The 13872-nt window shown below is 35.6% G+C and overlaps 1 long non-coding RNA gene across 1 annotated transcript in view; it reads right to left on the bottom strand.

Annotated features, from left to right (window-relative positions):
• Window positions 1-2701: 2701 nt before the first annotated feature.
• LINC01266 (long intergenic non-protein coding RNA 1266) overlaps window positions 2702-13872 on the bottom strand; it is a 253911-nt gene continuing 242740 nt past the window's right edge. The window contains exons 3-4 of the long non-coding RNA NR_110118.1: window positions 7907-8002; window positions 2702-6341 (exon numbers count right to left, since the gene is read on the bottom strand). This is a non-coding gene — a long non-coding RNA (long intergenic non-protein coding RNA 1266). The remainder of the gene's footprint in view (window positions 6342-7906; window positions 8003-13872) is intronic.

Here is a 13872-nt window from a genome sequence, read left to right as displayed (position 1 = left end):
CGTTTCGCCGGGCTTGGCGTTCACTCTCTCTGCAGTTCTCTCTGTAGCTTACCGTGTCTCTATTCACAAACACCTGCTTGGCTATCTCCAGTAACTGTGAAGTATTCATGACCGTGAACCCAGCCTGTTTTTGAAATTTTCTTTAATGTCTTCTGCACTTTGACTAACTAAAGCCATGTTAATCATGTGCTGATTTTCAAGGCTACTGGGATCAAAGGGGGTATACATACGATAGGCCTCACGTAGTCTCTTGTAGAATTGTGCCGGGCTCTCATCTTTTCCTTGAATGGCCTCAGAGACTTTGTTAACATTTGTGACCTTCTGAGCTCCCTTCTTTAACCCTTCCAGAAGGGCTTTCCTGTACCGGTTTAGCCTTTGCATACCCTGTCTTTCATTTGGGTCCCACTCGGCATCTGTTCCTGGTAATTGGATCCTCATATACTCTTGGGGGTTTTGGTAATCAGCTGGAACATGTTCTAAAGCCACTTCGTTGCTGCTTGGAGCACTCTCCTCCTTTCATCTGTGTTAAAGAGGCATATGAGCAACTAGTGGCAATCAGCCCAGGTGGGGTTTGTGGGTCTGGATAACAGTTTGGAGCAAATCCATCAGAGCTTGTGGCTTTTTGGTATAGGATGGGGTATCGGAGTGGGAGACCTTTCTTCTTGGTGGAAAGGGGGCCACTGGTGCTGTTTCTTGCCATGAATCCTCTGGTGTTGGATCAGACAGGACTTTAGGAGCTGACTCCCTTAGGTTGGTGGAGCAGGATTCTTCCTTGGCTGTCTGTCCCTTTGCCACTAGTACTACTGCTGCCTGTCCTCTTAACCACTGTGGTGGCTCTAAAACCAGCTGTAACCAAGTGTCTATTTACGGAAACTGGTCTGGGTGTCTTGGCTTACCAGTTACTTTGTGCCATACATTTAAAAACAAGGGACCCATCTAGGTTTCCTTCTGATGCCCAACCCACTTCCAATGCTGGCCAGTCTATTTCACACAAAGTCCTAAGTTTTCCTGGTGTATAGTAACTCCATAGTCTCCATTAAATCCTTCCTTGAAATTTTTCAACATAGTTCCTAGCAGAGTGGGCTTACTTTGCATAACACCCATTTTCCTCCCGAGACAAAACAACACTCACACCACAAGAAGGAAAGGGTAAAGAGGTCACTCGCTCACCTCGCACATCTAAAACTCAAGCACTCACTCACTTTCACTTTCCTTTTTGCAAACAGGTCAAGCCAAATCAAAATCAATACTGAGACCAAAGTGCCCATAAGGGCACACAGTGGGTGATCAGGCCACGCTTCCACTCAAATGCAGTGGGCAAGTTCCCAGGACCGGTCCTTCTGTATTCCAGATGTCTGGACTCCAAGCAATGGTTCCTTCCCAGTGTTCAGACATTGCATTGATCATCTGCGGGGGCCTGCCATGCACCACTCTGACGAGGAGTTCTACCAGGACAAACACCTACCCAGGAGCGGTCTCAGGATCCCCATCGCTCAAGCTGGCTGGAGTTCACTGCAGGGATGCTCTGCAGGGCAGGTGTAAGTCACCTAAGGGGCTGCCTCAACTGTCCGTTAATCACCTCACTTCCTGGTCAGGGAACCAAGAAATGCAGCAGGATGAGCCACAGACAAAACCCCTCAGATGCCATGTTAAAGAAGGAAGAGGCTTTATTTGGCTGGGAGCGTCAGCAGACTTGCATCTCAAGAATGACGCTCTCCAAAGAAAGAGCTCCAGACCCTTTTAAGGGCTTACAACTCCAAGGGGTCCACGTGAAAGGGTCTTGATAGATTGAGATTTATAGACAGTACATGTGATTAGAGTGGGGGGGTTAATCTTTAACCTCTCTCTTCAGTGGAAGGTGAAGGTGAAGAGAAAGCAGGCAAATCTTACCTGGCCAGAGCAGGAGGAAGAGACAGATGGGAGGTACACATATTTTTAAACAACCAGATCTTCAGAGAACTCTATCACGAAACAGCACTTCGGGGATGGTGTTAAACTATTAGAAACCACTCCCATGATCCAATCACCTCACATCAGTTCCCATCTCCAGCATTGGGGATTACATTTCAACACGAGATTTGGGCAGGAACACAAATCCAGTCCCAATCAAATCACCAACGAGTCAGGTCATTCAGTTTTTCTGTAGCATTATAATCTAAGAGAACTAATTTATTAAAATTCACTTCTCTTGCAAAATAGAAAAATATATGTAGATATAATAGAATCACAAGTATCTACATTATTTGCACCAATTTTAAGCATGACAATTTTTAAGGAATAAAGACAAAATGGAAACTATTTGATGGTGATAAGCAATATGATGAGAGAGACTTCTGATGCATGACATATTACTGGTTGCTGAATGAAGTCTCATTTAACTTGGCATACAGATGACTAGAGTATATGCCAATGTTGTATACAACACAAAAGAGTGTAACTGGGACTAATGATGAAAAGTTCCAAGTGATGCCATGGACTTCCCTGGAACAATTGTTAGTTTGTGGGTTTTCATTTTCTCAAGTTAGAGGTGTTTTAAAAGTAGGCAAGATAGCAATTGGCAGGGAACATGTAGAAGAGCTGGCTCTACTGATTCTTAATATTCACGTTTCTGAGTAAGGATAAAAGTGAAAGATTCCAAGTATAAAACTTAGTATATATCAAGAGAGTGTGTCATCAAAAGAAAACTTGACTGCATGTAAATCTAATTTTTAAAAATATATTTTTCACAGCTTTCAGGTAACATATTTGAATATTATAGGTACCTACTGAAGCCTCACAGTGAATTCAATTCAATATATCACATATTCAAACATAGCGAAGGGTCATATACATATTTTTGTTATGAGTAATAAATAAGATAAATAGCATTTTATTGACTAATAATAACGATATCATGTATGCTGTTCTAAATTATCTCACCCAATAACTCATTGAATTATTAAAATCAAGGCATTAAAAAGTCAGCTAGCTGCTCAAATGTCATTCAGTAAATTGTAGAATGAAAACTCAAGCTTCATGGAAGTCATTATCCTCAACAAACTAAAACAGGAACAGAAAACCAAACACCGTAGGTTCTTATTTACAAGTGGGAGCTGGACAATGAGAACACATGGACACAGGGAGGGAACAACAAACACTGGGATCTGCTGCAGGGGCAGTGGGAGGGAGCTAACGCATGTAGGGCTTAATACCTAGGTGATAGGTTGAGAGGTGCAGCAAACCACCATTTCGGCACATCTTTACCTATGTAAGAAACCTGCACATCCTGCACTTGTATCCTGGAACTTAAAATTAAAATAAAATAAAATTTAAACCACAATAACAACAAAAACCCTCAAGCGTCAGTTTATCTGAAACACATGGGTCACTTTTCCATAATTTAATCATTTTAACCATGCTTGCTTTATTTTTTCGCTTATTTTACCATCAAAATTATTTTAATATCCACTTTCTCTCATATATGGTTAATAAAAAAGGAATTTGGATCAGGAATATGTATGATGAATTTCACTAAAGTGGTATAATCAGTGTAAAACATGTCTGTAACAGAAAGACCATGAAGACAAGGAATTGCTATTATATTTCATATAGTAAAGGTAACAATAATTGTTGAAGAATAACAAAGAATAATAAAACAAACACTATTTTAGAATTTGGTAAAATATTTTGTTGGCTTTTGTCTTTTGGATGGGTCGTATGTGAGTCATGAATATTTTGACAAGATCTGTGATACTTCAACCAGCATGATGAATGAGTCTTTTCAAGATGGGAGGCAATTGGCTCTGATTTTTAGCCCTGGGAAAATCTATGAGTCTTGACGTTGTCTGCCTTTTATAGAAAGCAAGATTTTCCTTGAGACCTTTGACTCCAGATAAGTTTATTTGCTTACCTTTCCTTGCTCCCTAAAGACTTCTCTGGGCAGCAAACTTAGTCCCTTTCAGTCAAAAAATAAAAGATCACACATGATTTAAAAAGTCTGTTATAGTTTAATACATGTGCTGGGTGATCGAGATAATATCATTTTGTGTGCCCTTTTCTCTACATGAAAAATAAAAGGGGATTATTGAGACCACTCTCTAGGTAACTCAGGCAAAGGCTATTACAATTAGGGCTCTGAATGAGTTACCAAGATTAAAGTGATGATTAACTTTGGTCAGTAGATCATGTAACTATATAAGTGGTATAGTCATAATTTGCATTTTTTATTCCAACCTGATAGATGAAACTAGCTAAACTTTGACACAAAAGAACAAAATCATAAGATACCAAAAGCAACAATGATTTACTCATTGGATAGCAGTAAAATGTCAGTGAATTATTAGAAAAATCTAGATAAATTACAGTTTTCTGCAAGGAGAAATAGATACAGGCAAGGATCTGAAATATTTACAGATCAGGCAGCTGATTAGTGTTAGGGCAAAAGTCTATGTAATTTCTCATGAATTGGGATTCCCAAGGAACAATAGCTCAGTGATTTACTATCCATGGAGACAAAATGCATGTTTTTTCCACCCTTTCAAACTTCTTTTTCCTGAGGTCAATAATAAATACTATAATTAGAGTAGTTTGTGAAATATGAATGGAGTGGGGTGAAAACAGAGGAATTGCACAGGTGGGAAAATGCCCATTAAGGTTGTACTCCAAGAATGTGCAGCGTGACAGCTCGTTGTATTGAATCCCAACCACCTGGGCATCTCTGCACTTGCTGAAACACCCTATACATACTAAATGGCTTCTTGGTAATGCTGAAAATTTATGATTTGGGCAAAGAATAATTTTAGGCATTATAAATAATTTTATGGAATAATCCTCTTCTATGATTTAAAAGTGACTCAAAGCCAAGATGTTCTCTCCAGCATCATAAATAGTTTTTCATTAAGTTTTCATGTTTGCCTCCTCTCTTTATCAAGATGACCTAGAAATAGCACCATCTGGCCAAAAAGATACAGTTTATTCCACCATATGCTTTCTCTGTCCTAATCTATGTGTTAAAATCTAAATACTTTTATTTTAAAAGTGGTTATAAAAAATCTGGTGTACGTACTTAGATAGGACCACTGTTAGTTAGCTTCTAAAAAGTCTTTGTGTAAGTTGTGTATTATTTACATTGCTATAAAATAGAAGCACTGCTTGTCTGTCTGCTTACTTAAGGGTCAATTATTTTTGTCAAGAGTTAATAATTTGGTGCCAAGAAAATTCAATGATTAAGAGAAAAACTTTAATAACCAGTTTTGAAACAACTGGGTAATTATATTGAGAAAAAAAATGAATCGTGACATTGCTTTACAGACAAAAATAAATTTGGGACGAATTATAGACCTAAGGGTGAAAATTTGAAACATAAACTTGCTAGAAGAAAACCTAAGAGAATTTAGTGACATTGAGGAAGGCAACAGTTTCATAGGACACAAAAATGCTAATCATAAAAAAAGTATACAACTGGAATTCACCAAAGTTAAAAATTAAAAATCAATCAAAAGACATTATTAAGAAAATGAATAGGTAAGCTATAGACTGGAAAAATATCTATAATACTTAAATCTGAAGGAGAACTTGTATCAAGAATACAGGTAACCCTTGAAGAATGCAGGCGTTAGGAGCGCTGATCCCCTGCACAGTCAAAATCTGTGTATAACTTCTGACTCCCAAAAAACCTAACTATTAATACCTACTGATTTTTGTTGCTGTTGTTGTTGTTTGTTGTAGTGTTTTGAGACAAGGTCTCACTCTGTCTCCCAGGCAGGAGTGCAGTGCAGTAGTGCAATAATGGCTCATTGTAACCTCCACCTTTTTGGCTCCTATTGTAGGTTCCTGAGTAGCTGGGATTGCAGGCATGCACCACCATGATTAGGTATTTTAATTTTTTGTGGAGATGGGGGTCTCACTATGTTACTTAGGCTGGTCTTGAACTCCTGGGCTCAAGCGATCCTCCACCTCGGCCTCCCAAAATGCTAGGATTACAGGCATGTGTCACAACACCTGGCTGTTGCCTGCTGTTGAGTGGAAGCCTTACCTATCACTTAAACAGTAAACTAATACATACTTTGCTTATTATATGTACTATGTACTGTATTCTGGCAATAAAGTAATCAAGAGAAAAGAAAGTGTTATTAAGAAAACCATAAGGAAAAAATATATTTACTATTCAACAAGTAGAAGTGGATGATCATAAAGGTCTTCATTCTCACCATCTTCAAGTTGAGTAGGCTGAGGAGAAGGAAAAAGAGGAGGTATTGGTCTTGTTGTCTCAAGGGTGGCAGAGGCTGAAGAAAATCCACCAATAAGTGGACTTGTGTAGTTCAGATCCATGTTGTTCAAGTGTCAACTATATATTAAAGCTCCTGATAATCAACAACAGAAGAAACAATAATTCAGTAGAATGATGGTCAAAGCCTTGAAAAGAAATTCTTCACAGGAAAAGATACACAAATGGCCTGATAGAGTATGAAAATTTGCTCAACATCATGGGTCATCAAGGAAATGCAAATTAAAATGATAATGCTAAACCATTTCACACCCACTAGAATGACTAAAACTAAAAAGATTGGCGACAGCAAATGTTGGCAAGGATGCATATTAGTTTTCTGTTACTGCTAATACACATTTCCACAAACTTAGTGGCTTAAAACAACACAACTTTTAAATATTATGTTATGTGGTCAAAAGTCCTAAAAATCAAGATGTTGGGAGGTCTGGGCTTCTTCTGAAGGCTCTAAAGGGATAACCTATTCCCATGCCTTTTCTACCTTCTGGAGGCCACATTCACTCCTTAGTTCATGGCCTCTTCCACCATTTTCAAAGCCAGCAGCAGAGCATCTTCTGCTTTCTCTTTCTCTCCTTCCCCTCTGTGTCTGCCACCATTATTATATCTCTTTGACGCTGACTCTCTTGTCTTCATCTTACAAATACCCTGTGATTATACTCGATTCAGCAGATAATCCAGAATAACTTTCCCATCTCAAGATCCTCAAACTAATCCCATCTTCAAAGCTCCTTTTGCCATAGAAAGTAACAAATTCATAGGTTTTTGGGATTAGGACTTCTCTGGGGGCCATTATGTTGCCTAACATACAGAACAACTTGCATTCTCAAAAATTGCTGGTGGTGACAAAAAATACTACAACACTATTGGAAAACACTTTGGCAATTTCTTATACAGTTAAACTTAAATATATACAATCTAATGTTATGATCACTCAATTGTGTTCTAGAGTCTTTATCCAAATAAAAATAAAACATACGTCCATAAACATGTTATATAAAAATGCTTATAACAGCCTTAATTACAGTAGATAAAATAGAAACAACTCGAATATCTATCAACAAGAGAATGGATTAATACATTTTGATATTTTCCTATAATGGTGTACTATTTAGCAATAAACTAACAAATTAATGATACATGCAACCATATGCATGGATCTTAACGATATTATGTTGAGTGAAAAAAGTCAGACACACAAAAGATTACACACTACATGATTCAATTTATAAGAATCCAGGACTATGCAAAACAAACTGATATGTGTTGGTGGAAATCAGAAAGTAGCTCCCACTTCTAGGTGGAAATTGAATAGAAAGGCATATAATGTAATTCTAGGGTGATACAAATGTTCTATATCTTACTTAGGGTGTTTGTTACAGGAGTGTATAAAATTATCATAACTCATCAAAATGAACATTTAGGATGTGTGCACTTTATTGAATGCAAATTATATGGCCATAAAACAATTTTTAAAAGCAAATATGTTTTTAAATTCTTCTATTGACACAACTTCAAGACTCTATGTTACATTTTTCTTCTATTGGTCTCAATTTTGCCTAAAGGTGGTACAAATTTTATTACATTGAATCTGTGTCAAAGCAAAGAACCACCACCACAAAACTTTGTTAATTCTGAACCTACCTATGCATAAAGAGTCTATTCTCCTTTTTCCTGATTTCTTCTGTCCCTTTTCCTGGATAATTGATTATGATCACTGAAAAGAAGCAACTTGACCTGCTAGTAAATGGGAAAATATTTTTCTTAATTTTAATGTACCATGAAAAGCCCTATGGCAAACTATTTTTATTACAGTCAATTCTAACAACATTTGGATTCTTAAAAAAAATTTCTTGCATCTTTGATCGATGATTTTCTTTTATATTAAATTAAATAAAGACATGGTATAGACCTAGAATCAATCTTTATTTCTATCTCTGTTCTCTATTGCTGTTCTATTTATCTAACCTTTTATATACCTATAAATCTATATACAAAACATAGTTTATTGTAAGCTTATAGTTTTTCATTTTGCACTGAGCTTTCTGTTAGTTCCTTTCAGAATATTCTTATGATTATTCCCTTTATTTATTAGAATTATTTATTCCACCTAAAGAAAGAAAACAATTAGTAAGAACCATACTAACTGTTCCCTAGATCCTTTTTAAAACCATTTGGACATACAAAGAGATTTTGTTTTCCTTTAACCCACATGGACTTCCTACAGTGAAATGAATTTTGTTCACTGAATTACGCAGCTGACATATTCATGTTAATCACTTCAACAAAACCAAAGCAAACATTCCAGTTCTCCAAGAATGTCTTACATTGAATGCTGATCATTTAACTTTGATGTGCAGGTTTTTTTTTTTTTTTTTTCCTGTGGCCTCTATTTAACTCAATATTGTCAAAATAACAGTGTCTTTTACTTGTGCTTTTCCAAGTTACTCTAGTTAATGATGCTTTCATTGTTTCTGAAATTATCCATCAAACATGATTTTAGTGACATCTGTATAAGTTCACAGAGCTGAATTGCCTTCTAAATTATATCCACTCATTCCCAGGGATTTAATTATACATCTCAAAAATTGAATAATAAAACCAAAAGACATCTGAAAGTTTTTAGTAAGGCGAAAACTTACTTGATGCAGCTGCTCTCATTGTGAGAACAAGAAAGATCACTTAATTGATAATAAGACCTATTCTATTATTATAATTCAATAAAGGATAGAAAAAGGAAGCTAGGTGAGTAAAGGAAACATGTCTGTTACTCAGATGCCTCTTCTGTCTTTTAGATTGAAGAAGTATGGCCTATATGTGCCTAGTGGACTACAAGTATCTTTCACATGACCAAGTATCTTTCTGTTTACAAGTAGCATTGTGACTACTGCCATTTTTTTCATAATCATACAATTATTTGCAATAATTGTGATGACTTTCTCAGAAATTTATTTTTTAAACTGTAAAATTAAAGAAAACTATATCCTAGACTTTTTATACATTTACAGTGGTCCAGTGATATAAGAATATGATGTATATTGAGTTATCATTTTGACACCAAAACATACAGTTTTGTAAGAATGAAACTTCGAATCCAAATCAAGCATTTTTTACCAAATACAATGTCAATAATTGTTCTTATTATTATAGATCATAGAAAAAAATCATTAAATATAGAATTGCACCAAGAAATGCAAAATATTTCCCAACCTGTGTGTGTCCCTCTGATTCTAACTAGATAATGTTATTTTGGATAACTATTTAAAATTAGTTAATACTTATTCAAATTCACCTGTTACTGGAAGTTGTATCTTGTCCGAAAAAATAAACCTTTAGTTTATAAGATATGCATTTTATAACTGATCCAACCCCAAAATTAATTACAATTCAAAGCTAGTTTTCCCAGTTAATAACAGTGAGGGAAAGGTCTGTTTTTCAATCTATGCAAGCTTTATTGTTTGCCATAATATTCTGTAATGTGCACTTAAATTATCTTGCTCTTAAGAGTGTATTCATCAAAGACATTGCCCATGCCATTACCAAGGTATTACCCTCTCTGTCTAACTTTCTAATGAGGGCCTTAACCCCCAGAGAAACAAGAAGGGAAACTCTGGATAGATTGGCGAAACCCTTCACCATTGATAGGAAAACGACATCAAAGGTCGTTTATTAGGCTGGGTCCAATGTAGCATGTTCATCTCTAGAGGGCATTACATGTGTAACAATACATAGCATAAACTATCATTATCCCTCATTAGAAAATTGAAATTGTCTTTTCTCTGGCCTATATAGCTGTAGCTTTTAGCCTTTCAAAATTATCATCTTCTCTGAAACTCATGCTCTCTTTAATAAAAAAAAAAATAGAAGAATGTAACTGCCTTGAATTAAAAGACAAACTCTATATTATTATATGCTAAGAGTTTGACTCCTTAGCTTATTCACAAAATGCCTAGTTTTATTAGACTTTTTCTTTCCTTCTCATTTCTCTCCATATGTTTTTATAACTAATTGTTCCACCTTTTGACAACTCTACCTCATTTATTCAGCATAGTATGCAAGTTTCTTGGGACTGCTGTAGTAAGTTCCCACAAACTGGGTGGTTTAAACAGTAGAAATTTATTCTCTCACAGTTTAGAAGCTAAAAGTCTGAAATCCAGGTTTCGGCAGGTTTGGTTGCAACTTGGGGATTCTGAAGGAAAATGTGTTTCATGCCTCTCTCCCAGCTTCTGAGGGTTTTGAACAATCTTGTGTGTTCCTTGGCTTGCAGTTGCCATCACTCACATCTCTTCCACCAAAGTCACACGGCTGTCTTCCTTCTCTGTGTGTGTCTGTATTCTGCCATGGTGTTATTTTCTTTCTGTATATGTCTCTTCTCGTCCCTTCTCTTTTTTTTAGCACATGAGGTGTATTGAATTAAGGGCCTCCAGCATGACTCCATCTACTAAGTTACATCAGAATTATATCTTCAAAGATCCTATTGCCCAATAAGGTCCCATTCACAGGTACTGGGGTTAAGACTTCGACATATTTTGGGGGAGAACACAATTCAACCCACAACAAATGGGATAGCATTTAAGCTCCCTTCTATTTTTGCTTATTTTCTTTTTTCACTCTCTCATGTCTTATCTCTATTTCCATTAAGACAAGCTTCTTCTACCTGATCTTTAAATTCCAGATCAAATATCCATTCTTTTTATAGCTTCCCATACCCTTCTTGAGGTAGACCCATTCTTTTGTCATATGAATTTTAACATGATAATTTTCATACAATCCTCAGAACAAGAGTTACAGTACCATGTCTAGTACATAGTATGTTCTCAAAAAATGGTTTTTAAATAAATAAATGGCACTTATATTTCATTATACTTACAATAATCTATTTGGATTTGTGCCCCCACCCAAATCTCATGTTGAATTGGAGGAGGAGACTGGTGGGAGGAGATTGGATCATGGGGGGAAATTTCCCCCTTGCTGTTCTCATAATAGTGAGTGAGCTCTCATGAGATATGACGGTTTAAAAGTGTGTGATAATTCCCCCCTTCACTGCCTCTCTCTCCTGGCACCATGTGAAGAAGGTCCTTCCTTCCCTCTCACCTTCCACCATGATTGTAAGTTTCTTAAGGCCTTCCAGTCATGCTTCCTGTTAAGGCTGTGGAACTATGAGTCAATTAAATCTCTTTTCTTCATAAATTACCCAGTCTCAGGTAGTTCTTTAGGCAGTGTACAAATGGACTAATACAGCATGTAAGACTATGTCTTATATATATACTTATGACAATTCTTAATAATATTTATCCATTCAAATTAAATAATTGTGTAAAAATTATTAATGAATCATTTATCTGTACATTAAATACTTAAGAATCACCTTTCCTATCTTTTTTCTAGAAATGGACAAAATTATTTCTCACAATTAAAAACATGTGCTTTTAGAGTCTTTACCTTCCTGCCATGTCTTTCACTTTAGTAGATTTGTCTGTTATTTTAATTGAAGATAAACAATGAACATAATGTTTAACTTATGCCAAAATATAATCTGGAAAAATGCAAAATATTATTTAAGTATCTGTATTGTATGAAAATCATTATGACCATTGTTAAACAGAGAATTATTAGAGGAGTATAAACCACAAAATGTTATTAGGAAGTTATATGATTATGGGTGTGTCATTCATAGACCAAACCAATTGCAAATGCACCATTAGAAGTGGGCATTAGCAATTTATGAGATGGATGAGAAGGTCCTGGTGACTTTCTTTTTTAGTCAATGACTCTGTGTGAAATTTAAGTTTCAGTAAACTGAAGTTTAGAGAAATATTTTTCCCCACAAGGTTAGACGTTACCATAAAATCACTGATTCTACCTAAAAAGTTATACTAAGTGTGTGGGCATTGAATAGCCAATTATAATGTTTATTCTAAAACAAATTACATTTGACATAAAAATAACAAGTAGCAATGTTTTCAGCTTATCAGTCTAGTTCACATGAATTATCTTTTTTAGTGCCTTAGCTAATTTTCAAAAATAATGGCACCAGTACTAGTCATATTTTGAGCCTACTAGTATACTACATACTATAAATTTATATGCATTATACTATAAAAGCATATAACCCTGATATTATACAATTATCATATATTTACTTGAATGTTCTGAGTATAACACTGATGACTATCTATGCCATAAAGTTTTATATTTATATTGTAACAGGTGATTCCAAGTGTAGATTTCTCTAAATTTATCCTCCACAGTCCAAGTAGTTTCGTTTCATTTAAATGAAATGTACTCTATATGTATATAAATATATATGTATGCTCTGTATAAATATGTATACATATGTATGTGCATGCTGATGTCCATATGAGTGTATTTTTTCATGAAAATGTCATCTAATTCTTTCAAAAATCTTTAGTCAGCAAACTTATTGTCTTAATGGAACACAAACTTGACTAGATATTTAAGGTCTGGGCTCTCCGATTTACTGGTTAACTTCTCACCATCAATCCGCATGCAGTAAACAAAAGCACTTACTGTTCCCATCTCCTTCATTTTGGGTTTGTGCCCACCAAAGTCTGACTCCCTCTCAGTGGACCCTTTCCAATGTTACCTCTTCCTTGAAATCTTGATTAATCTCCCCAAGTAGACTCAGGGTTTTTCTCCTTTAAATATTCTCCATGCTTCAGTCTAGCTTCATGCATTTGGAACCCTGCTATACTTTATATTAATCATAACAATCAACACATCTCTGCTTTGTAATTGTACACTCCTGCAGGATAGGGATTGTCCTAGTCATCTTTATGTTCCCATATGGTAGCACAGTGCCTCGACTAGAGTGGATATTCGGTAAATATTTGTTGAAATGAACTAGATAGAAAGACTTAATGCAAATTCTAAAACCACCATCTATTAGTAAGGACCTGTGCCACAGGGAATCAGCCTCAAGTTACTTAGGCAGAACTTTCTATGTATGTCTAATATTGAAACCAAGAAGTTACAATTAGAAATTAGAACAGACCATTTAATAATGTGTATCGGTAAGCAGTATTTACCTTTCCTTACTTTACCTGACAGGACAGAGTCTGCATTGTAATATTCTGCATTCTGAGTCATTCTTATTGTTAGGATTCATAATTATGGAATCTTAGAAACTATGCTTACAGTGTGTGGGTATTCGTGAGAATGCACAGAGGAAGAAAGTACTGCCGGGTCTTAGATGTGAGACTCACACAAGGAATGTAACGTTGTCTTAGATTATAACTCTATTTATTCACCTACTACTTTCTCAGAGTTAATTCTTAAATTATAAATCCAGAGGCCTCAAAAGGTGTTTCTGATCTATTTTCATTTTAGCAACAAAGAAAATAGGCCAGAGCATTGAAAGTAGTTATACCAACTAATCTTAGGATTTAACAAAGGCATAAAATCTGTCATAATTCTACAGAAAACAGACAGTGCATTAATTCTCCTTTGTGGAAAAATTTACCTTTAGTCATCCAGGTTATTTTTACCTCAATCAAAGAGGATTATAATACTAGCAGAGAATCTACAGAGAGCAATTCTGAACAAAAACCACTTATTCCTCATTTACCAGAAACAATTGATGCTTCATG

This window comes from Homo sapiens, chromosome 3, assembly GCF_000001405.40.
Source record: "Homo sapiens chromosome 3, GRCh38.p14 Primary Assembly".
Classification (NCBI taxonomy): Eukaryota; Metazoa; Chordata; class Mammalia; order Primates; family Hominidae; genus Homo; species Homo sapiens.
The sequence above is the reverse complement of the archived record's forward strand: the minus strand, read 5'-3'. Positions and strand labels throughout refer to the sequence as shown.